This window comes from Homo sapiens, chromosome 1 (assembly GCF_000001405.40).
Source record: "Homo sapiens chromosome 1, GRCh38.p14 Primary Assembly".
Classification (NCBI taxonomy): domain Eukaryota; kingdom Metazoa; phylum Chordata; class Mammalia; order Primates; family Hominidae; genus Homo; species Homo sapiens.
The window spans coordinates 207,684,401-207,710,217 of NC_000001.11; the positions used below are offsets into that span (position 1 = coordinate 207,684,401).

The following is a 25,817-nucleotide window of genomic DNA, read 5'->3' on the forward strand; positions in this document are numbered from 1 at the left end:
TGTATTTTAACCTACTTCTTAGAATTTATACTTAGGAAATAATCACACACTTTTTAAAGCAGTTTGGTATAAACTTTTCATTGCAGCATTATTTATATTAGTTAAAATGTTAGAGTAACCTAAATATTTTAAACTATGGTTTGGAAATAATCTACTAGTAGGAAAAAGATGTGTTCAAATGACCATTACAAAGAATTCCCTAAGAAACATGAAATAGCTATGCAGAATGAAAATAAGTATATCCATACACTGGCATGGTATTCAGCCATAAAAAATGATAGCATAAAGAAGCACTTAATGACTAGAAAGAGATGTGTTTTATGTGGAAAAAGAATCAGATGAACGGCATATATGGCAAGATCTCATTTTATTAAAAAAAAATACACCTATGTAGTGAGGGCCAGGCTGAGGCTGAGAGAAATGCAGTGTATAACATCTTTGTCTTACTCTTCTCTTTGGATAACTTGGGGACTTCTTTACTTTTCTTCTTGGTATTTAAAAATGTTGTTACTTTTACTAGAAAGTTTACGAGCTTCAGAATCTAAATTTACAAATGACATTGGTCACACATTTATTGCTGTTTATCCACTTTAAGAAACAGTTTTGCTATTTTGTAAAACAAATTGGGAAACCTTCCATCTTATTTGAAATCTGTAATAAGATAACATGGAATTGGAATAGGAATTTTCTTGGAAATATTAAAAAAAATTAGTAAAATAGAAAAAACAAACAATATAATAATACACCTATACCTATATCTATATTTTTATCTCTGTTTCTAGTTCTGTAAACTCTCTATATCCAAATCCTGGTAAATGGCTGTAAGTCTTCTTGGAGAAGGCTAGGGGAAGATTTACAATACATGCTTTTGACTGCGTAGCATGGTGCTTCCTCAAGAGAATCCAGTCTCCCATCCGTTGGTGCTGCTCTGGGTCTATAAACTATTCAAGTCTAGGAATTGTTGATGAACAATGAACTTCTTTTGCAATAATTCAAGTCAGACTTCAATTCACTTGACCTAAATCTCTTATGCTTATACAAATCAAATAACACCTTAGTCGGCTATCCCTCTACTTCGGTTTTAGAGACTCCATGATCAATTAGCCCAATAACAATGTTCTCTTCAGTCAAATCATTCTGATTGCTGTTTCAGTTCTAATAGCCATTACAATTGTCTCTGGCAATTAAGTGCTGCCAATTGGACTCTGTCACCCTGAGCTCCTTTGGTCCCCAAGTGAATTCAGAGAACCCAGTTCAATGGCAACAGTTCCCACTGTCATTCCTGGCCTACAGAGAATGAGCCATCGCAGAGGATGCTGAAACTCCCCGTGTGAATGTTTTTCTCAAGCCTCCAGTAAAAGGTCTGTCTTCTGAACCCTCCACTCCTGCATGTGCCTCACCAGCTCTATCCAAGGATGTGACTTTCAGAGTGGAATGGCTGTTGCTTAACCTCTGCCTCTCAAATATCAGGCTAATTTCTCATGCTGTAACCCTAGTCCAGAACCGTACAGAGAAAGTAAGTCTGGAAAACTTAATTCCAAATTGGCCTGGTTGACACTGTACAAAACCACCAGATAATTATAATTTTATTTAACTCTTTGTCTTCTTTTCTTTCCTTCCCTCCTTCCCTTCTGCCTGCCTGCTTGCCTTCCTTCTTTGCTTGCTTCCTTCCTTTCTCCCTCCCTTCCTCCCTCCTTTCCTTCCTTCCTCCCTCCCTCCCTCCCTTCCTCCCTCCCTTCCTTCCTTCCTTCCTTCCTTCCTTCCTTCCTTCCTTCCTTCCCTCCTTCCCTCCTTCCCTCCTTTCCTTCTCCTTATTTTCTTTCTTCTTTACCACACGGCTAGGACCACCAGTATAACATTGAACATTGGTAGCAATAGATGTCATCCTTGTCTTGTTCCACATCTCAAAGGGAAGGATTAAAACATTTCACCATTAACCTGGTGTTTACAGTAGGCTTTTTGTAGGTAACCATTTTTGAATTAAGGACATTCTCATATACTCTTCATTATTAAAAATTTTTTGTCTTTGAAACATGTTGAAGTTTATCGAGCACTTTAGTTATATGTATCGATGTAATCATATCTGTTTCTCTTTTTTCTGTTAATGTAACAAACTGTTTTGAGTACATTTTTGAAAGGCAAATAATTTTGAATTTCAATTTTACATTCTTAAAATCAACTAAGTCAATACTTAATCATTTTTATATATAACAAATACCCTTTTATAATACATTTTATATGTTTCTATTAAAGTATAATTCATGTATCATAAAAGTTACCTTTTCAAATTACACAATTCAGTGGTATTTAGTATATTCATAAAGTTGTATATTACGGTCTGAATGTTTGAGTCCACCCCAAATCCATATGTTGAAATCTTTACCCCTAAGGTGATGACATTAGGGAGTGAGGCCTTTGGAAGGTGATGAGATCATGAGAGCAGAGCTGTCACGAATGGGATTAGCGTCCTAATAAAAGAGGCCCAGAAGAGCTCCTTTGCCCCTCCTGCCATGGGAAGAAATGCTGAATCTGCCAGAGAGGTTGGTCCTGAACTCCTTAGCCTCCACAACTATGAGAAATAAATTTTTGTTGTGTATGAGCTAACCAGTTTATAGTATTTTGTTATAACAGCCCAAATAGACTAAGACATTGGGCAACCAGCACCGCCAATTAATTCCGGAACACTTTCATCATCCCATTCCTGTTTTAGAGATTAGACTGTAATTTTCTTTCTTGTAATGTCCTCATAAGATTTTGATATCAAACTTATGACAGTCTTATAAAGCCAGCTGGTAGTGTTTCATATATTTGCTTCCTTGTAAGAGTTTATATAAAATTGGTATTATTTCTTCTTTAAATGTTTAAAAGAATTCACTGGAAAAGCCATATAGCCTGGAGTTTACTTTGTTGGGAGGTCTTTTTTTATTCCAACAATTTTCTTGTACCATGTAGACTTTTTGCTGAAGTATAACATATATATGTAGTAAAGTGCACACATCTTAATTATGCAGTTCAGTAGATATTTACAAATTAAATGCACCCATGTAAGTGGCACTCAGATTAAGATATAGAACATTATCAGCACCCCAGAAGCCTTCCTGATGCCCTTTCCCAGTTATCTTCCCAAAGTAACCGCTATTCTGATTTATAACACTAATAGTTTTGCTGCTTCCTAAATTTTATAAAGGAATCAAAAAATAGGTACTCTTCTGTGTCCGGCTTCTGCTCAGTGTTATATTTGGAAGTCACTTTTGTTGCTGCATGAAGGATGGTCAGTTTTTTTATTATTATATTGTATTTCACTGATGATCTTGAGTACCTTTTCATATGTTTGTGAAGGGCCTATTCCAAACTTTTGTCTGTTATTTACTGGTTTGTCTATGATTTTATTGTTTTGTAGAAGTTGTTTAAATATTCTCTTGTTTTCTAATAAATGTAACACAAATGTTGTCTTTCAGGCTATGGCTTTTCTTTTTCTTTTTCCCTTCTTAATGATGTCTTCTGTTGTAGTAAGTTCTACATTTTAATAATATTCAATTTATGGGTCTTTTTTTCCAGTTACTGCTTTTTCTATTCTACTTAGGCAATTGGGCCAGGTGAGGTGGCTCACGTCTATAATCCTAGCACTTTGGGAGGCCAAGGCAGGAGGATTGCTTGAAGCCAGGAGTTCGAGACCAGCCTGGGCAACAAAGCGAGACCCTGTCTCTACAAAAAATAAAATAAAATTAGCTGGGCTCAGTGGCACATGCCTGTAAGTCCCAGCTACTTGGGAGCCTGAGGTGGGAGGATCCCTTGAGCACAGGGGTTCAAGGCTTCAGTGGGTTATGATGGTACCACTGCACTCCAGTCCAGGTGACAGAGTGAGACCCTGTTTCTTATGGATAGGCAATTGATCTAATATCATTTATTAAATGTTGCACCATGGCCATAAGTCAGGTGACCTATATGTGGATGTCATTCCAGGGAGGTTCTGTTCCACTGGTTTATTTGCCATACATTGTGTTTTTGTTTGGTTTAGTTTTTTGCCATACTATAATGGCAAAAAAAACTGTAGCATTACATTAAGATTTTAATTACTATAGCATGACATTAATATTTGATATCTGGTGGCATATATCTTCTAACTATGTGCATCTTCAAGATTTACTTGGTGATTCTTGGCACTTTGCATTACCATATAAAATTTAGAATCAGCTTGTCAATTTCCACAAAAAGAATCCTACTTGAATTTGTATTGAGTTTCTATTGACTTAGTACATCAATTTGTAGACATTAACAAATTTAGTTTTGAAGTTTAAATTTATGAACATGATATATCCTCCCATTTTTGAAGTCTTCTTTAATTTCTTTTAAAAATATTTGTTAATTTACCTTATAGAAGTCATGTACATCTTTCATTATCTTTATTACTACATATTATTTTTAAAATTTTATTCTCTATTTACTTCTTAGATATGCACTGGTTTCACCTCAGCTCCAGCAATTTTATTAAATTTACTTTTAAATTGAATAGTTTTTCTGTATATCTTTTGAAGTTGCTGCATAATTATGTCATCTATGAATCTGACAAAGTTTTTAAATCTTTTCCTTTCTTATGTCTTTTGTTTATTTCATCTGCTTTATTGCATTGGCTAGAACCTCCAGTACAACATTGAATAGAAGAGATGATACAAGCCTTTTAATGGTTATCACAAATCATGATGTATGCTGTAGATTTTTGTATGATATCCTTTATTAGATTAAGGAAACTCCCCTTTACTTCTGATTGCTAAAAGATTTATCATGAATGTTCATTCTAATTGATCACTCTGCATGTATTGAGATTATCATGTTTCTTTTTCACTCTGTTAATGTAATATATTACATTGATTGATCTTTAAAGGGCAAACAAACTCTGAATTCCTAGAATCAACCTATGTTGCTTGTGATGTGTTATAGATGATTATCCTATCTATGAAATGTGTGTGAGTGTGTGTGTGGTGTGTGTGTGCAGGATTGCTCATATTTTTATTGTAACGTTGTAACATTGATTTAATATTTAAAATCAGTCAAGGTAAACCTCACTTTGATCATTGTATCATCCTTTGGAAATATTGCTGGATTCAGTTTCATAATATTTTGTTTAGAAAATTTGCATTTATGTTCTCAAGAGATCTTTGGTTATAATTTGGTTTTATTTTAATGTCCTTATCAGGTTTGGGCATCAAGATTATGTTGGGCTAGTAAAATGTGTTAAAAATTGTTTATTTTTTTCTAGTCTCCGGAATAATTTGTGTAACATTAATATTATTTTTCCTTATATGTTTGGAAGAATTCAGCAATGAAGCAATCTGGACCTGAGGGTTTGTTGTTGTTGTTGTTAGGTTTTAAATTAGTGATTCAATTTCTTTAATAGCTATAAAAGTATTATTTTATATCGTATTGAATTAGTTTGGGTAAGTTATATTTTTCAAGGAATTTACTCATTTTATTTAAATTTTCTAGGTTATTAGCATAATGCTATTTATTATATCCTCAGAAATCCTTTGGATGTCTGTAAATTCTGTAGTGGTACTCCTATGCTAATTAATTTCTGATATTGGTAATATCTTTTTGCTTCTTTTTCCTTAATTAGTTTTACTGGGGCTTTATCAAGTTTACTAAGCTTTTCATATAAACTACTTTTAACTTTCTTGTTTTTTCTTTAAAGTGTGACTATTTTCTCTTTTACTGATTTCTGCTTATTTTCTTCTACTTTCTTTAAGCTTTGTGTACTCCTCCACTCCTAAATTCTTGATATTGATTAGATAATTTGTTTTCAACCTTTATTTTTCTAATATATACATTTAACCTATACATTTTTCTCTAAAACTATTTTACTTCCCACAATCTTTATATTTTTATTATCATTGTACATAAAAGTTTTCTAATTTACCTTTTGATGTCTTCTTTGACCCATAGGCTATTTAGAAGGGCATTGCTTAATTTCTAAATATTTGGAGATCTTCTAGTTATCATTCTTTCATTAATTCAATCATTTGAGACATGGTTTATGGCCCAGAATATGGATGATTTTGGTAAAATGTTACATATGCACTTGAAAAGACTGTACAGTTATTTTGTTTCATTTTCTAGAAATGTCATTTAGGAAAATGTGGTTTAGAACAGACTTTTTTTCTCCCTCCACTTGTTCTCTCAGTTATGGAGAAGCATGTGTAAAATATCTGTATTAGTTTCCCAGGGCTGCTGTAACAAATTACCACAAACTTGGTGGCTTCAAAGAAGAGAAATTTACTCTCTCAACAGTTTGGAGGCCAGAAATCCAGTTAAGATGTCAATAGGATTGGTTCCATCTGCAAGCTGTTCTGTGCCTCTCTTCAGGCTTCCTTCCAGTGGCTGCTGGCAATCGTTGATGTTCCTTGGCTTGTAGATGCATCATTTCGTTTTCCGCCTCCATCTTCAAGTCGCCTTCTCCTCTGTGTGTGTCCTTTGCTCTTCTGGCTCCTGTAAAGACACTGGACATGGATTTAGAAGCCACCCTGGCAATCCAGAATGGTCTCAACTCAAGATCATTAATTTGATTGTATCTACAAAGACTCTCCAAACTGGGTCACATTCACAGGTTTCAGAGATTAGGTTAGGACACAGATATTTTTTAAGGAGGACAGTGGTTATTCAACCCATTACAATCCCCAACTATGACTATGAATTTGCCTGTCTTTCCTCTTTGTTCTAGCAATCTTTAAGCAATCTTTACTTTATGTATTTTAAACATGTTATTAAATGCATGTTTAAATAATTGCATTTGTTAAATTTTTTGTTTATTCTTTCTGCTGAATTGACTGTTTTATCATAATGAAATGTCTCTCTTTACCTCTCATAATACTTCTTGCCTTAAAATCTACTTTGTACATTAATATAGCTATATCAGCTTTCTTTCTTGTATTTATATTATATATATTTCAAATCTTTTACTTTCAGCCCTTCTTTGTCTTATATTTAAAGCTTGTCTGTTATAAACATCATATGGTAAAGTTTTGTTGTTTTATTCAGTCTTTCTTTGTTGTTCATTAGTGTTTGAAACATTTAAATTTAATAATAAAAAGTTAAAATTATAAATAAATAAATTTAATCTAGTTACTGATAAGTCTAACTCTTGGTTATTTGTTTTCTATTTGTTTCATGTGTTTGTGCCTTTATTCCTCATTTCTCACATTTTTGAATTCATCAAGTATTTTTATTATTCTATTTTCCCCAGTAGCTTTTAAGTTATATTTCATTTTTTATTCTTAAATCACTACTCTAGAGACAGACATCCTTGATTTACTATAGTCTACTAAAATTGTGCTTTTACCAGTCTCCAAACAACGCAAGTACCCAAACTATTAATATTTAATTCCATTTGTGTCCTCCTCCTCTTTTTGTATTGTTGCCATACGTTTTGTAAAAAGAAAAGCTTCAGCTGAATTAAATTTAAAAGAGTTTAATTGAGCAATGAACGATTCGCAAATCAGGCAGCCTTCCAAGCCAAAGTAAGCTCAGAGACTCCTGCCCAGCTGCGTGGTGGAAGAGGATTTACGGACAGAAAAAGGAAACTGACGTACAGAAAACAGAAGTGAGGTACAGAAACAGCCCGATTGGTTATAGCTCAGCGTTTGGCTTATTTGAAGACAGTTCAAACAGTTAGCCACATTTGATTGGCCAAAACTCGGTGATTGGCATAAGAGTAACCTACGGTCTGTTTACATCTTCACTCGTTATAATTCGCAGTTTACAGAGAAACCTTTAGGCTGAGCTTAAACTATGTAAGGCTTTAGGCTAAACTTGATTTAACAATTTACATATGTTATATATTTCAAAGACGTAATTGTTGTTGTTGTCTTTATAAAAATAATATCTATTTATATTTACACCGTAGTGAATTCTTAGAATTTTTATGTTGCCTCAGCATCCATTTAGAATATGTTTAGCTTTCTCATGCCAGAAGCAGGGCTTAGTCACCCTTAATGCCCTTTCTAGTTCTGTACCTCCTCCCAATTTTGCAACGTGGTCGAGCCAGATATCTGCTTTATACAACTGCCTCCTGGTGACCACCTCTCCATGGGACAGCTAGATAAAACCTACTTGACTAGCGTCCCTGCCCTCTGTGCCCTGCATGGACTTCGCAGTTATGCTGCCGTGACCACCTCTCAGTCGCAGCATGACTGCCTGGAACATGTGCCTGCTTTCTTTAAACTCACCAATTAGAACTCCCCATGGGAGATACCTTGGCTTGTAGATGCAAGATGCTGGGTCATACTCTGGTCCCCAATAAAGGCATTGGCCGATGGATCCCCTTCTCTCTCTCTCTCTACGTTCCTCGCACTGACCAACCTCTTTGTGATCTTCAGGCGTGCCATACCCCCAGCCCGTAATAAAATCTTTACTTCCATCTTGTGTTTCTTGTAATGACTGAAGAGGTTTTCTCTATCATAAAGATCCTAAATGAAAACATACCCGCATATGAGCTCTTTCTGGTGTGTTTCCTTCTTATTGCAATTCTATCAATCCTATATGAAACTATTTTCCTTCAGCCTGAAAAAGTCTCTTTGGCATTTTTGTATTGTAGATCTTCTGACAACAAATTCTTTAAACATTTTTCTAATTGTGGTTCCTTTGAAGGTTATTGTCTATGTTTCCTGCTGCTTTTATGGATTACACTTTAAAATAGATTTTTTACAATATTACTATGTTGTGTCTAGGTAAGTATTTCTTTGTATTGCTTGGGTTTATCTTGTTGCACAACTGGAGTGCAGTGGCGCGATCTCGGCTGACTGCAATCTCCACCTCCCAGATTCAAGGAATCTTCCCACCTCAGCCACCTCGGTAGCTGGGATTACAGGCCTGTGCCACTATTCCTGGCTAATTTTTGTATTTTTAGTAGAGACAGGGTTTCAACATGTTGGCCAGGCTGGTCTCAAACCCCTGACCTCAGGTGATCTGCCCACCTGGGCCACCCAAAGTGCTAAGATTACAGGCATGAGCCACCACGCCAGGCCTGTATAGCTTTTTGAATCTGTAATCTTGCATCAGTCTTGGAAATTTCTCAGTTATTACTTCTTCAAATGTTGTTTATGTCTATTATCTCCTCTCATGGCAGGACTTCACTTAAACATGCTAGGCTTTATTCTTCTATATCTTGGTCTGTATGTTTAACATGCATTTAAGGAGTTTTTGTGGACTAATATATGACCACTTTTACACAGATATCATGTTATTATATCAAACTTAGATTTGAGTAAATGAGTTGATAAGTTTTATACCTCTTGTGTGTTGTGAAATATTGAAATTACATTTGGAAGCATCTGTTACTTGAAAGTTCAATAGAGCTTATCTTTTTTTTTTTATTCTTACATGTTTGTTGGGTAATTCTAGCTTTCTAAATCTTTTTGAATGAATATTGGCAATTTATGTTTCCATTTATATCATTTAGATTTTCAAAATATTTAACCCCCAGTAGTCTACAGTTTTATAAATATTCTCATATTCATAAAAATGTTTAAATTCCTTTTCCTACTGTGTATATTTGTGTCTTCTCTCTTCCCTTATACTTTATCTTTTGGCAAAGGTTTTTATATTTTATTTTTCTAAAAAGGCTAACCTCAGTTATTAACAAAAATGCAAATTAAGAAAGCAAATGAAAAGAGTAGGAGAACACTGTATAAACTCTATAATACTATAATCAAAGGGCTATTTAAAATGAAAAGAATGTGGATGGAGTTAATAAATGCATGCAAATATTATAGGAAATCATATAAGTAAGAAAGGCAGGACACATCATATTATCCCCACCAAAATTACAACTTTGTAAAAATGTACCTACGTGTTAGCAAAGAATAAAAGCAAATAATGAATGTAAAAATAGTTACAGTTTAGTGACTCGTGAGATTTTTGTCATTCATTATTTAAATTGACTGTGCTCTTCCTTTCCCAGGAATTATTTGTGGGCTACCCCCCACCATCGCCAATGGAGATTTCACTAGCATCAGCAGAGAGTATTTTCACTATGGATCAGTGGTGACCTACCACTGCAATCTTGGAAGCAGAGGGAAAAAGGTGTTTGAGCTTGTGGGTGAGCCCTCCATATACTGCACCAGCAAAGATGATCAAGTGGGCATCTGGAGTGGCCCAGCCCCTCAGTGCATTATACCTAACAAATGCACGCCTCCAAATGTGGAAAATGGAATATTGGTATCTGACAACAGAAGCTTATTTTCCTTAAATGAAGTTGTGGAGTTTAGGTGTCAGCCTGGCTTTGGCATGAAAGGGCCCTCCCATGTGAAGTGCCAGGCCCTGAACAAATGGGAGCCAGAGTTACCAAGCTGCTCCAGGGGTGAGTCTGACTGAGGCCTAGAAGGGCCCTGCCAGTGACATGCATTGCTGTTGGATCAGGAGATTAGTATTTGTTCAGGGGGAGGGATTTGTGCTGAGCAGGGTCGAGAAGCAAATTTTCTAGGTAGTGAACATGAAATTCAGAAGGTGTGTGTACATGCAGATGTGCTGAAATGAAGAAGCAAAGCTAAACCTGGACAAGGAACGTGATGTTTCTTTGGAGTTCTTATAAGCAAATCTATTAATTACCTTTGAGTATAATAACTGCTGATAGAAAATGAGTGATTCTTCCAGCCAGGCACCATAATACAGGCTACATGTGAATTTTAATCCTTAAAACAAAGTTATTAGGTAGTTACCAGTTTTTCTAGGTTTGTCTGTTTTGTTTTGCTTGAGACAGGGTCTTGATCTGTCACTCAAGTTGGACTGCAGAGGTGAGATCATGGCTTACTGCAACCGCCACCTCCCTGGCTCAAGCAATTCTCCTGCCTGAGCCTCCCAAGCAGCTGGGACTACAGGTGCATGCTACCACACCTGGTTAAATTTTTTATATTTTTTTTATAGAGATCGAATCTCACCATGTTTCCCAGGCTTGTCTCGAACACCTGAGCTGAAGCAATCCACCCACCTGGGCCTCCCAAAGTGCTGAGATTATAGGCATGAGCCACTGTGCCTGGCCTCTATGTTTTGCAGAGAAAATGTGCCTTAGAGAAATCGGATAACTTTCTAAGATATTAACTTGCAGACTGAAGACTGAAACGCAAGTCCACCCGACTCCAGAGACTTGGCTTTGCTAGTCAGCATCCAGTCAGGAAATCAAAACTTACTCTAGATACTTTCAAGGAGGGAGGGATTTCATGCAGGCTGTATTAGACTCTTCTCACATTGTATAAAGAACTACCTGAGACTGGGTAATTTATAAAGAAAAGAGGTTTAATTAACTCTCAGTTCTGCAGGCTATACAGGAGGAATGACTGAAGACTCCTCAGGAAACTTACAATCATGGTGGAAGGCAAAGAGGAAGCATGTATATTTTCATATGGCTGGCAGGAGACAGCAACTAGGGAGGTGCTACACATTTTAAACAAGCAGATCTCAAGAGAACTATATCACAATACAGCACTAGGGTGATGGTGATAAACCATTAGAAACCACCCCCATGATCCAGTCACTTCCCACTAGGCTCCTCCTCCAACACTGGGAATTACAATTTGACATGAGATTTGGGTGGGGACACAGAGACAAACCATATCACAGCTAATAGGTCACAAAGATGTTAGAAGGGCAGGAAAATCAGGCAGCCTCCCTAGCAATAGGACGAAGGCAGAGTTACCAGAGATCAGGGAGCTGCTGTGGCTCCCAGTCTACACAGCACAGGAGCCTGGAGGGATGCTCAAGTGGCCAGCCCCTCCCACTGAGCAGGCAGCTCCCTGAAAGCTGCTAATGCTGCAGGAGCCACCACAGCTGCCAGAATGCAGCTGATATTGCTGGAGCCAAAGTCATTGGCATCGCTAGAATTGAAGCTGTAGCTGCTCACTGAAGTCATCTATACTGCCACTGCCTGAGCCACCTCTAGAAGTAGAACAGACTCTGCCATCATCCTGCTTTTTAATTTGGTATATATGCCTCCAACTGGAAGAACCTAACCAGAGCCCAGCTATCAAGGAAGACAAATGATTATAGTTTTAAGGTTTCCATTGCTAGCAGCCAAAAGACAGTGCAGAAGTGTGAGGCTAGGGGCCAACAGAAATTTAACCAGCACAGCACCTCAATATTACATCACCAGGCATTGATTAGTCAAGGGAAACACTGGGTGATGAGCCCTGAAAATGGACATTACAGCATCAGAGTATTTACAAACTCCCTAAAGAAGTCATTTTTCTAGTCCAATCCCCCATTTGATGCTTGAGAAAGCTGAAGTCCAGAAAAGGGAACTGATCTGCTCAAAGACAAACTGAAATTATTTTTTCCATTTTATAACAGTTTTATATAATTTAGTTGAGACCTAAATGTGTTCTGACTTCCTGAGTTCCGATCAACTATATTAAGAGAGAGCCAGCGCTGCCCTTACAATATGTTGTGTGAAATAGACACTCTCATTATGGTGACAGTAGGTCTTTTAGATTTTGTTCGACAGTTGCCCACCTTCTCACTGGAGTGAAATGAATGACTAGGCAGCACCTTGCTGCATAGCATGAAGGGAGGAGACCCATAGTTCTTTACCACCCTATGTCAGGTGGCCGCTGAGAGAAGACTTGAAAGGAGAAGAGAATAGATGTATGTTTGTTGCACCAGTGTGATAGGTGATGGAGGGACCTATTAGATGAGACATGGGCAGGGGCACTCCTTTATGGCCTAAAATGCAAGACGAAATTGGTGATGCCTTTCTAGAAAGGAAGCATGGAGATATAAAAATCCATCATCCCTCCCAATTTTGTACTGGGTGAACAGTAATTGGAAGCATTCTAGAAGGAACTGTCCATTGTGAAATCTTAGTTGCATACTTTAGATGTAAAACAATGAATTGGGGATACCTCTGTTTTAGTCACAGTTGTGCAATGTGTCAGTTCTATGAGTGATGGCAAGACATCTTCCTCGCCCTGTGTATTTAGTTTGTTATCAATGTAATAAGGCTGTTATTCTACCTTTTTTGTTACATATAGATTTGTAATTATTATTCCCTTGGCCAGTTTAACAGTGAGAGAAAAGTTATTTTCACACAATTAGCAGTACTTTGTTTCTCTCTCCCCAGTATGTCAGCCACCTCCAGATGTCCTGCATGCTGAGCGTACCCAAAGGGACAAGGACAACTTTTCACCCGGGCAGGAAGTGTTCTACAGCTGTGAGCCCGGCTACGACCTCAGAGGATCTACGTATTTGCACTGCACACCCCAGGGAGACTGGAGCCCTGCAGCCCCCAGATGTGAAGGTGACTAGACTCTTATCTGGCTTGGTATTTTTAGCTTGCGTCTTTATTCTCCACATGCCAGTTATTTCTGTTCGTTTTTCTTTTTTTCCAGTGAAATCCTGTGATGACTTCCTGGGCCAACTTCCTAATGGCCATGTGCTATTTCCACTTAATCTCCAGCTTGGAGCAAAAGTGGATTTTGTTTGTGATGAAGGGTGAGTATGAGCTTGCCTGACCTGCTGGACATTGAAATTGGGGTTAGGAATTAGTCCAAAAAGGGGAGATTTGATGTGGCTTAAAAAAAGACAGACAGACAGACACACACACACACACACACAATCAGAGAGATGAACTTTTGAAAGTATATATAGGAAGAAAGGAAAGACACATATGGAACTAATAACATGAGATATGAAGAGGACACTGGGCCATATATTAACTGGCAAATTCAAAGACAAGTATAATTACTTGTTATTAATATATAGGTAACACAGTAAGTTTAAAAAATCCTATTTTCAAAATTTTAGAATTTCAAAACAGCAAATAGAATATGAGTAATTTAAGAGTCTCAGAAAAAATTGCAAGTAACAAAAAACTTATTCTAAAGAGCTAGGATCATTTAAGAATCATTTCAGTAAATTCTTTAAACCATCAGTAATGAAATTTGTAATAGGACTGAAAGTGTAAAAATCAGCATTTTAAAAAAATCCAGTCATATATCGTCTGGCTAGTCATGGGCTCTGGGCTCTGAGCTGGGGTTCTGATGGCTGCTGTTAATATTTCCAGCAAGGTCATTACCTTGTTTATGTCCACCTAGTGCTCTTCACAGGGTGCACATCTCTACACGGGAGCTGACCAGCATGGGCAACAAAGCACCTGATCCCAAAATGTAACACAGAATCTTGGCAGGCTCCAAAAGCCAGCACCCAGTAAGAGTTAGGAGGGCATCGGGGCCCAACAGACATTGAGAATTTTCAACAATTGCGTACAAAAATTATGTCCTCTCTTCTTTCCTTTTTCCCCTAGAATATTCGTGCTTACTCTTCAGCAGCCCAAATTGCCCTTTTGAGCCTTCTTCACGCCATCACAGATGTGGAGATGAAAGGACAATCTCTGTTCTCTCGCCAGCTATTTCCCACTTTACCACTCCAAACTGGGAGCTGTTTTACTTGCTGTTCCAGGGTCAGAGTTACGAAGGCATTGCATTAGAAGACTGGGTTTCTAATAATGACAATGAGTAATCAGTGAAACTCCAAGCCTGGGTCCTGGGTCAAGGAGATGGTGGCTATTTTGTGACCACCTTTTTCAATTCAAGCAGGACTATCATGTGACCAAGCTACTGCATTTTGCCACTCTATATTGCTCCCTTCTGGAGGCTGTGATTTTTCCAGAATAACGTAGCCTGTGCAACTCTGCCACCTGCTGGCCTCAGGTCCTCAAAATCCTGAAATTGGGGCTGGGCCTTAGATTGTGAACTAAGTGTCCTCTTGGCTGAAACAGCTCGCTATTCACTCCTATTTTCTTCTTTAGATTTCAATTAAAAGGCAGCTCTGCTAGTTACTGTGTTTTGGCTGGAATGGAAAGCCTTTGGAATAGCAGTGTTCCAGTGTGTGAACGTAAGTAATAGGAGTAACATTTCAGGCCAATCTCTCCCCTTCATCTGTTCAGTATTTGACCCATGACCTCCCCTAATGTGGTTCTTCAATTTTCTAATCTGAATTATTGATTTGAAAATTTCTTATTTTAGTAATGTTTGGTTGTGAATCAATGTGTACATCACCTGTCTTTGGAACTATCTGATCTGTCTCTGTCATTTTGTATTCTATGTTCTATTGCGATAAATCCTATGGTCGTGTGCTTCTAGGTCAGGAGAGATTAGATAATGTGAAGCTTTTACAATTTGCTTTCTTTCTCTACTTCTTTTCTTTCTTCTCTTCTTTCCTTCCTTCAGTTCTTTTTTCCCTTCTTCTCTCCCTCTCTCCTTCCTTCTTTTTCATTTTGTTCTCCAATCAATGTGCAGTCAGTCTACAATTTGTGTATATATTTGATAATACTCAAGTATCAAACATGCCTTTATTTAATCAATTATTTATTGATCACATACTTTGTGCCTCTGTTCATCTAGATACTGGAGTTATAGCAATGAACAAGATGAGTGAAGTCCCTGTCCCCATGTTGTTTTTACTCAGGTAGGGAGAAGGACAAGGAAAAAAATAAGCAAATTAAATGCTACGGATAATAGATCAAAGCAATGAAGAATGAGGGAAAAGTGGGGAGTAACATTAGACAGGGTGAGCAGTTTGAGACTCCATAAATTCTCAAAATATGTACCTAAATAATTTATGCTGAGAGATTCATAAATAATAAGTCATTTTTTTAAAATGAGCCTCATATGTTCAATAATCAGTAGACTACTGATTTCTCCTAGTCTACCCATTTATAATTTCCCCAATAGAAGATAGAACTTTGCTTCATTTCTTGATTCTAATGATTGGAAAACATGTTTCTTTAGAAAACCATGAAATTTTACTAAAATGTTTATGTTCTTAGAAATGTACTTGGACATCTTACAGTGCTTTTTAGAGTAAAATTTTGGAAGAACATAACTTATATAGAGATGCTTGCTGTCTAAGAAATCCAGTGCTCCTTGAGGCAGCATGACAAATGTCTGTTCTACTATCATGCATGAAAGCTCATTGATTGGACTACTCAAGCTTTCTCTTATTTTTCATAACTCTGGTAGTTAAAATAACTTCTTCCAAATGCCAGTTCTAATGAAAAATGCCAATTAGAAATGAGGAAGAGACTATTATAAACAAATCAGTAGATGCTAGAAAGGAGTAACAACTTGAAACCTGACCCAGAAAGTAAAAAAAGAAAATAAATCATCAACAGACCTTGACATTTTCAAAAGCAAAGCAATCTGAATCCATTTGGAGTTTTTTATAATGGCCTGAATATGTTTCAATTCACTGTGGCAGGGCTATTGTTATCACTGAGACTGATGATCAATATCAGTAAGTAATCAGTGAAAGTTTTCACCTATTTAAGATGATTAGCACACATATATACATTTGAGAAATATTTCCCAAGAACGTAGGCCCCTTCCTCAGCACTGTGTCCCCAGGATCCTGATGAGTGGCTGACACAGGATAAGTGCTAAATTAAGAAAGATTGACTAAATGAATGAGTAACCCTTCAAAACGGTTATTTTTCTTCTTCAAATGTTTTGCTACTTCATTAAAGTTGTAAAGTAAGTAAACTTGCACTGGATCTTTCCCATGTCTGCAAAAGCTTCTTATTGAATTTTTTCAATTGTGGGATAAGAGAAACCTTTTTTCAAAAGCGTTCAGATAGGTGGATGTAAGAGTTTTTCTTGCAGGTCGTCTTTGATTATTGCTTGAAATGCTCACTTCATGAGAATGTTTCAAGGAATATTTGTAGAGAAAATCTTCATTCCTTATGGGAAAATAAATAATAAATGACTCTATATCAGGAAATAAAGATTGTGTAGGAAGACAAATTCTGTTTGAATAACTAGGTGGGAAGAAATCCTTTGAAAACTTTATTGGTAGTAAATAATGCCATAAATGACCTTTACATTTTGATAAGGGATGCAAGGTCTCTACACAGATCTAAATCTAGATCTAGATAGATCTGGAGGGAAGGTCTTTTTGAAAGTGGGGCTTAGTAGGTGGCTGATCCTGAGGCTCTCTGATGAGTTTTCTCAAGGTGCCAAAATCTGTGGAACTATCAGAACTGCGTGTTTTCTTCAGGAAGCTACATGCAGGTTGAGACCTTACGTACTGAAGAGAGTTCAGATTACTCTACCTGGCTCCAAAACATTTTCTTTCCCACAGGTAAATCATGTGAAACTCCTCCAGTTCCAGTGAATGGCATGGTGCATGTGATCACAGACATCCATGTTGGATCCAGAATCAACTATTCTTGTACTACAGGGTGAGTTGGCAGCAACATCTCTTGGTTCCAGAGTTCCAGCACAGCAATACTACCTTCTAGCCACATCTCAGGAAGGAAACTAGGCTGTTGCCACCTGCTCTTGAGAGGTTTGAACACAGGTATTAACTCCTGATTGAAATGAACAAAGATAGGAGAAGATTAGGGGAAAAATCTGTGTCCTTGCTGGAAACCAGGGCAGTGCACACATAAAGAGTATGCCGTTCACTGGATGGGAAGGAAAAAAAATTAGGAGTATAGTAGTCAAAGCACACAAACAACCCTAACCCAGAGTAGACATTGCTGGAAGAAAGGGAAGGGCATGTAGCAGCTGTGTGAGAGAACAAATCTTAATGATAACAGCATGATCGCTTGCTAGGGCTGCCATCAAAAAGTACAGGCCTTCCTCATTTTATTGTACTTCACAGATGTTATGCTTTTTACAAATTGAAGGCTTGTGGCAACGCTGCAACAAGCATGTCAGTTGGCATCATTTATCCAACAGTGTGTGTTGACTTCGTGTCTCTGTGTAGCATTTTGGTTATTCTCACAATATCCCAGAGGTTTTCATTATTATCATGTCTGTGATAGTGATCTGTCTTCAGTGATCTTTGATGTTACTATTTTCATTGTTTGGAGTCCCTACGAACTGCACCCATATAAGACAGAAAACTTAATAAATGTGCATGCTTTGACTGCTCCATGGACAAGACATTCCCCTTCTCTCTCCCTCTCTTCAGGACTCCCTAATCCCTGAACACAATAATACTAAAATGAGGCCAATTAATAGCCCTACAATGGCCTTTAAGTGTTGACATGAAGGGAGGAGTCATGCATCTCTTACTTTAAATCAAAAGCTGGAGATGATTAAGCTTAGTGAGGAAGATATGTTGAAAGCCAAGACAGGCCAAAAGTCAGGCCTCATGTGCCAAACAGCTAGCGAGTTGCAAAGGCAAAGCAAAAGTACTTGAAGGAAACTTAAAGTGCTATTCCAGTGAACACATGAATGATAAGAAGGTGAAACAGCCTTATTGCTGATATGGAAGAAGTTTTAGTGGTCTAGATACAAGATCAAACTAGACATATTTCCTTAAGCTAAAGCCTAATCCTGAGCAAGGCCCTAACTCTCTTCAATTCTGTGAAGGCTGACAGAGGTGAGGAAGCTGCAGAAAAAAAGCTGGAAGCAGCTGGGCACTGTGGCTCATGCCTGTAATTCCAGCACTTTGGGAGGCAGAGGCAGGTGGATCACCTGAGGTCAGGTGTTCAAGACCAGCCTGACCAATATGGTGAAACCTCATATCTACTGAAAATGCAAAAATTAACCAGGCGTTGTGGCGGGTTGCCTGTAGTTCCAGCTACTCGGGAGTCTGAGGCATGAGAATAACTTGAACCCGGGAAGCAGAAGTTGCCGAGATTGTGCCACTGCACTCCAGGTTGGGTGATTCCTGAGGTTTAAGGAAAGAAGTCATCTCCATAACATAAAGGTGCAAGGTGAAGCAACAAGTGCTGACATAGAAGCTGCAGCAAGTTGTCCTGATGATCTAACTAAGATCATTGATGAAGGTGTTAAAATAAATAGCAGATTCTCCATGTAGACAAAACAGCCATCTATTGGACCTTCATAGCTAGAGAGGAGAAGCCAATGCCTGGGTTCAAAGCTTCAAAGGATAGGCTGCCTTTTTAGGAGCTAATCTCGTTGGTGAGTTTGAGTTGAAGCCAATGCTCACTGACCATTCTAAAAGCCCTAGGGCCCTTAAGAATTATGCTAAATGTACCTTGCCTGTGTCTATAAATGGAACAACAAAGTCTGATGACAGAGGTATGTTTGCAGCATGGTTTACTGAATATTTTAGGCTCACTGTTGAGATATAGTGCTCAGAAAAACAGATTCCTTTCAAAATGTTACATACAGCTCATTGACTTTGTATCCAATCAGGCAAGAGCTCTGATGGAGATGGACAAGGAGATGCATGTAGTTTTCCTGCCTGCTGACAACAGCAGCCATTCTGCAGCCCATGGCTGAGCAGTAATTTTGACTTTGAAGTTTTAGTATTTAAGAAATATATTTTGTGCCAGGCATGGTGTAATCCCAGCATATTGGGAGACCAAGGTGGGCGGATCATGAGGTCAGGATTTCAAGACCAGCCTGGCCAACATAGTGAAACCCCGTCTCTATTAAAAATACAAAAATTGGCCAGCATGGCAGAATGTGCCTGTAGTCCCAACTACTCAGGAGGCTGAGGCAGGAGAATCACCTGAACCCAGGAGGTGAAAGTTCCAGTGAGCCGAGATTGCGTCACCGCACTCCAGGTTGGGCAATAGAGGGAGACTTCAACTCAAAAAAAAGAAAAAGAAAAGAAAAGGAAAAAAAAATACATTTTGTAAGGCTATAGTTCCCACAGACAGTAATTCCTCTGATGGATCTGAACAAAGTAAGTTGAAAACTGCAGGAAAGAATTAATCATTCTACATACTGTTAAGAACACTCATGATTCATGGGAAGAGGTTAAAATATCAACATTAACAGGAGTTTGGTAGAAGTTGATTCCGACCCTCATGGATGACTTTGAGAGGTTCAAGACTTCAGCGGAGGAAATAATTGCAGATGTGACAGAAGTAGCAAGAACACTACAATTAGAAGCAGAGCCTAAAGGTGTGACTGTATTGCTACAATATCATGATCAAACTTGAACAGAAGAGGAGTTACTTCTTATGGATGAGCAGAGAAAGTAGATTTTTGAGGTGGAGTCTCTTCCTGGTGAAGATGCCATGAGCATTGTTAAAATGACCACAAATTTAGAATATTACATAAACTAAGTTGATAAAGCAGCAGCAGTATCTGGGAGGATTGACTCCAATTTTGAAAGCAGTTCAGAGGGTAAAATGTTATCAAACAGCATTGCATGCTACAGCAAAATCTTTTGTGAAAGGAAGAGTCAATGTGGCCAGTTTTATTGTTGTCTTAGATTAAGAAATAGCCACAGCCACCCCAGCTTTCAGCAACCACCACCCTGATCAGTCAGCAGCCATCAACCTTGAGGCAAGACCCTCCACCAGCAAAAAGATTGTGACTTATTGAAGGTCAGATAATCTTTAGCATTTTTTACCAATAAACCATTTTTTAAAGTATGACCTTTTTTTCACATAATTCTATTTCACACTTAATAGACTATAGTATATTACAAACACAACTTTTAGACTCACTGAAAAATCAAAAAATTCATATGACTTGGTTTGTTGTGATATTTGTTTTATTGTGGTGTTCTGGAACTGAACCTGCAATATCTTTGAGGAATGTCTGTAACACAAAATGGGTGGCTTAATACAACAGAAGTTTTTGGAGTTCTGTTCTATAGACTGGAAGTCCAAAATCAAGGTGTTGGGAAGACCATGCTCCCTCTGAATCCTGTAGGGTAGGATCCTTCATTGCGTCTTCCAGCTTCTGGAGCCCCAGGCCTTCCTTGGAGTGTGGCAGCAGAACTCCAATTTCTTCTGTTGCTGTCCTCAGATGGCCATCTTCCCTCTGGGTCTGTGTCCTCATATGCTGTTCTCCTCTCTGTTCATGTCTGTGTCCAAAGTTTTCTCTTTTTATAAGGACACCGGGCATATTGGATTAGGGCCTACCTTAATGACCTCAGCTTAACTGGATTGCATCTGCAAAGATTGTATTTCCAAATAAGGTCACATCCACAGGGACTGGGGGTTAAGACTTCCCAACATATTTGGGGGAGACACAATTCAACCTATAACAGAGTCCCTTTGAAAATGTCAAGTGTCAGGTGCTCACAGCGCATGGTCCAGCTGTTGGTGCTCACCCTTGCTCAGCACACAGTGGAGGCTCTGCCTCAATCTCACTCTTCACGGGAACAGCTAAGCCAGGTAGTGAGTAGGGGCTATGTTTGTGCCACCGCAACAAACACAGAAAGGAAGCTTGTGGTGTCCAGCATATTTGCCAGCCTAGGCTTCAGAGACCATAGCACCTAGAATCTGACAAAATAAAATTGGAATAAATCCAAAGTCCTCTTTTCTTTTTTGAGCATTTTTAAAAATACAATTGATAAATTTCCTAACTGTTCCTTCCTCATCTTGCATTGTGGAATAAGTGCGAACCTCCCTGCGGCATGAGGCAGAAAACCATTGAGCTTATGACAAAAAACAGGAAATACATGTAAAAGAGACCAATTTTAAAAAATCAGGAGAAATTTTACAAAAGAGATTTACTGCCAGGAAACCAGGAAAACTTTCAGAACACTCTCCTTTTCCTATTTTTAACAAGACTCAGTTGTACAAATAATTCTGTGAAACTAGCCATGAAGTTTGCACACGAATGAATATATGTAGTCAGTGTGTTTATATATTTCATTTCATATATGTGTCATATATATGTGTGTGTGTATGTATATATATATATATATATATATATATATATAAAACACTGAATATTGCAGAAAATTAAAGCAAAGAGTAAGAAGAGTTAACCAAATTTTCCCTCAATGCAGTGGGAAAAGATGAAAAGGAGAAGATAGGTGGGCACAGTGGCTCACACCTGTAATCCCAACACTGAGAGGCCGAAGCAAGAGAATCACTTGACCCCAGGACCTCGAGACCAGCCTGGGCAATAAGGCAAAACCCCATCTCTACAAAAAAGTATAAAAATTAGCTGGGCGTGGTGGCGTGTGCCTGTAGTCACAGCTACACAGGAGACTGAGGTGAAAGGATCACCTCAGCCCGAGAGGCTGAGGCTTCAGTGAGCCGTGATGGCACCCCTGCACTCCAGCCTGGATGACAGAATGACACCTTGTCTAAAAAAAAAGAAAAAGAGAAGACGTATGTAAGACAGTGTCAGGATTCAAATTATGTATTAAAAAAATTCCAGAAGGGTAAGCAAATAAGCCCATACCTAGCCATCACTAGGGAAATTTCTGTGTTTCAGGGATAGAGAAAAAAACTCAGATTCCAGAAATAAAATGTGAAAATGTAATACCCGCAAAAGAAATAAATTTATTGACACCACATTGATTCTACACAACACTAAATTGTAGAAGATAGCACTTCTGTTGAGCCAAGCTAATATTCACATCTAGAGGCTCCAGATACACATTAAAGAATAAGCAAAGACACAAAAATTGTACCATTTAAGTATGTTTCCCAGGCAATTAATAAGCAAATTTTTAAAAAGGAGAATGATGAATTCCTAAAGAAATCTCAATGAGATAGAAAAGTGGTAAAAACAAACAACAACAACAAAAAACCATAAACACAAAAACTGGCAATGTAATCATAATTTAGTAATAATCTCTGTGAAGTCATAGAATATATCAATAGAAGTAGAAAATGTGAGAAAGCAGGAAAAGGTAGGCTAGACTTACAGAAAAGATGAGTAGACTGACTGTACAGAATTTGACTCTGAAATTGAGAAAATAGGTTTAAATATATGTATCAAGTGTATATATCTACAATATACATGCACACATATAAAATTAAATTCCTAATTGGAAAAAATATTAAGTTTAATTTCCAAATTATTAGAATAACTAAAACAGCTGAATCTATCTGTTCCATATAGTAAGGGGAGGGAAGGAAAAAGAATAGCAAGGAATGCATTTGTCTCTGTCATCGGAAATAAGCCCCATCATGTTTGGGTCAGGTCATTTTATTCATTGCTTTCTCCTCATCCTCATCATGGGACATCGTGAAATCATGAAAAAGGTAGTGAAAGAATTATGACAAGGCCGAGCACAGTGGCTCACGCCTGTAGTCCCAGCACTTTGGGAGGCCGAGGTGGGAGGGTCACCTCAGATCAGGAGTTCAAGACCAGTCTGGCCAAAGTGGTGAAACACCATCTCTACTAAAAATACAAAAATTAGCTGGGCATGTTGGTGCATGCCTGTAATCCCAGCCACTCAGGAGGATGAGTCAGGAGAATTGCTTGAACTCGGGAGGCAGAGGTTGCAGTGAGCAGATATTGCACCATTGCACTCCAGCCTGAGCGACAGAGCCAGACTCCGTCTAAAAAAACAAACAAACAAACAAAGCAAATCAAATATATAATTTATTTCAATCCATTTGGTTTAAACTTCTTGTCAAAAAACCAAGTCTACTAGACAGGATCAAAAGCAACAAATCTTGTATTTATAAAAAACATGCCTCAAGTTAAATGGCATAGTATTACACACACACACACACACACACACACACACACACATATTAAGGGAATACGCAAACAAAAAATGGCAGAAATAATATGGGAAAAGACAGAACTTAAGAAAGAAATTGTCAAGCAGGTCTACAAAATGATTGTTTTATTTTGGTGCCAGGTACAGTCCACAATGAAGTCAAGATATTAAGAAGTAAAGTGGACCAGGAGAAGTTAGAGCAGAAATATCTCTTTTCAATAGTGAGAGCAGAAAAAGAAGTAGAAAAGCTGGGAACAATAGGTAAAGTTTAGGCTAGGCCTTAGACTTCTCCTATATTGTAATCCCTCTGGTTTGCCACATATGCATGCTGTCAGGAAGTTGATGAGGTATGTACAGCACAATTATTTTCCATTTTTTGCCTTTAGGCACCGACTCATTGGTCACTCATCTGCTGAATGTATCCTCTCGGGCAATACTGCCCATTGGAGCATGAAGCCACCAATTTGTCAACGTGAGTTGAAATCTCTTTCCCCATTCACCCCACCATTTAACCCTAGAGTTGTCCTCCTAGAATTACAAAGAATGAATCTCATCCCTCTTGGAAATGGTATCCTTCTGATATTTGAAGAATCCAGTCATATCCTTAAAATGGCTCACAGCATTCCAAACTTCCACCTTCACCTAGAAATGCTTTTTTTCTTATCTTAAGGTGTAATTTATTTTAAACTAGTCTTGAGCTAATTTAAATAGCCCCCAATTTCATCCTCTGTTGGGTGAACACCTCCCAGTTTGAAGAGCATTTTCTTTGGTGAAGTCAACAAATACAAAGTCAGTGAAAGAAACCGCATATCCTCTCTGCAAGCTGTTAGTATCACATCAGATATTCAAGCCATGCAGCTCTTTCTTCCTTCTTATTCTTTGTCTAAACAGGATCATGCCATCTTCCCTGTGAGTTGTTTGGAAGATGAGCTTTCTACATTTTGGGGAGCAAAGAGGAATGAGCAATTGCAAGCTAATAAGGAATATAAAATGTGTATAATCCTGGGTTTAGTGATGGTGTGAGGAAATCAGCAATTTCAAACCCATCTGGTGGGAGAATAAGTGGGAACAAACTTTGTAGAAGGGCAATATACTGGCTGGGCACTGCCCTACAGTAGAGTAGGACACAGTATTCAGTTCTTCCAAGATCAGATGAAATTGGGTGCATTCAGGGTGGTATGGCTGTAGATCAGTATCCAGTTATTTGTATTACTTCTGAATCTGTAAGTATCATGTTTATTATATGTAATATTGTATATTTGTGTTTGCTTTGTCTTTATTAGTTCTGCCAGAGCTTTTGTTCTTATTATTTAATAAAGATGTTATACTGGGCCAGGTGTGGTGGCTCACACCTGTAATCCCAGCACTTTGGGAGTCCTAGGTGAGCAGATCGCTTGAGCCCAGGAGGTCGAGACCAGCCTGTACAACATGGTGAAACCCTGTCTCTACAAAAAATACAAAAATTAAATGGGCATACTGGCACACGCCTGTAGTCCCAACTATTCGGGAGACTGAGAGGTGGGAGGATTGCTTGAGCCAGAGAGGTCAAGGCTGCAATGAGCCATGATCGTGCCACTGCACTCCAGCCTGGGCAGCAGAGCAAGACCTTGTCTCAAAAAAAATGCTATGCTGTATGCTTTATTATATTAATATCCAATAGAATAAAGACACATGCCTTCTATATAGAGAGAACTAAATTAATAATGGTGAGATAACATAGTTAAATTCTCATTTAGCAGGAGAAATATAAATGTGTACTATAGGCCAGGCACAGTGGCTCACACCTGTAATTCCAGTACATTGGGAGGCCCAAGGTAGGTGGATCACTTGAGGTCAGGAGTTCAAGACCAGCCTGGCCAACATGGTGCTACCCCATCTCTACTAGAAATACAGAAGTTAGCTGAGCATGGTCGTGCATGTCTGTAATCCCAGCTACTTGGGAGGCTGCAGCAGGAGAATCATTTGAGGCCAGGAAAGGAAGGTTGCAGTGAGCCAAGATCATGATACTGCACTCCAGCCTGGGCAACAGAGACTCTGTCTCAAAAAAAAAAAAAAAGGAAAAAAATGCTCTATAATAATATATGGACACATTTAGCAAAGTAATGTTAACTACGAAGAGCACAACTCACAATATTATAAAATTGTAAGAATATATCTGTACATTAGTAAATATTAGATGAGAATGATATTGTGAATATTTACTTCCGGTAATTTGGGATTTCAGAAAAGCTATTAGCATAATTTACAATAAAGTATAATTTTAAGAAACCATGCCGGGCACGATGGCTCACGCCTGTAATCTCAGCATTTGGAAGGCAGAGGCAGGTGGATTGCTTGAGGCCAGGAGTTCAAGACCAGCATGGCCAACATGACCAAACCCCAACTCCACCAGAAATACAAAAATAAACCAGATACGGTGGTGCGTG

General features: G+C 38.2%; 1 protein-coding gene and 1 pseudogene across 1 annotated transcript in view, besides 1 other annotated feature; one reads left to right on the forward strand and one right to left on the reverse strand.

The window, feature by feature from the left end:
* CR1L (complement C3b/C4b receptor 1 like) overlaps nt 1-25,817 on the forward strand; it is a 78,571-nt gene that overhangs the window by 39,268 nt on the left and 13,486 nt on the right. The window contains exons 5-10 of the mRNA NM_175710.2: nt 9,953-10,351; nt 13,103-13,279; nt 13,371-13,473; nt 14,789-14,874; nt 17,119-17,218; nt 23,778-23,863. Coding sequence (NP_783641.1) covers nt 9,953-10,351; nt 13,103-13,279; nt 13,371-13,473; nt 14,789-14,874; nt 17,119-17,218; nt 23,778-23,863 — 951 coding nt within the window. The remainder of the gene's footprint in view (nt 1-9,952; nt 10,352-13,102; nt 13,280-13,370; nt 13,474-14,788; nt 14,875-17,118; nt 17,219-23,777; nt 23,864-25,817) is intronic.
* Nucleotides 7,964-8,258: a silencer, noted in NCBI's record as "tiled region #4693; HepG2 Repressive non-DNase unmatched - State 21:Repr, and K562 Repressive DNase matched - State 5:Enh". NCBI's record gives its function as "represses a minimal TATA promoter and a strong SV40 promoter by Sharpr-MPRA in HepG2 and K562 cells {active_cell/tissue: HepG2 | K562}" and the evidence as "EXISTENCE:reporter gene assay evidence [ECO:0000049][PMID:27701403]".
* RNA5SP534 (RNA, 5S ribosomal pseudogene 534) lies at nt 24,398-24,681 on the reverse strand (annotated as a pseudogene).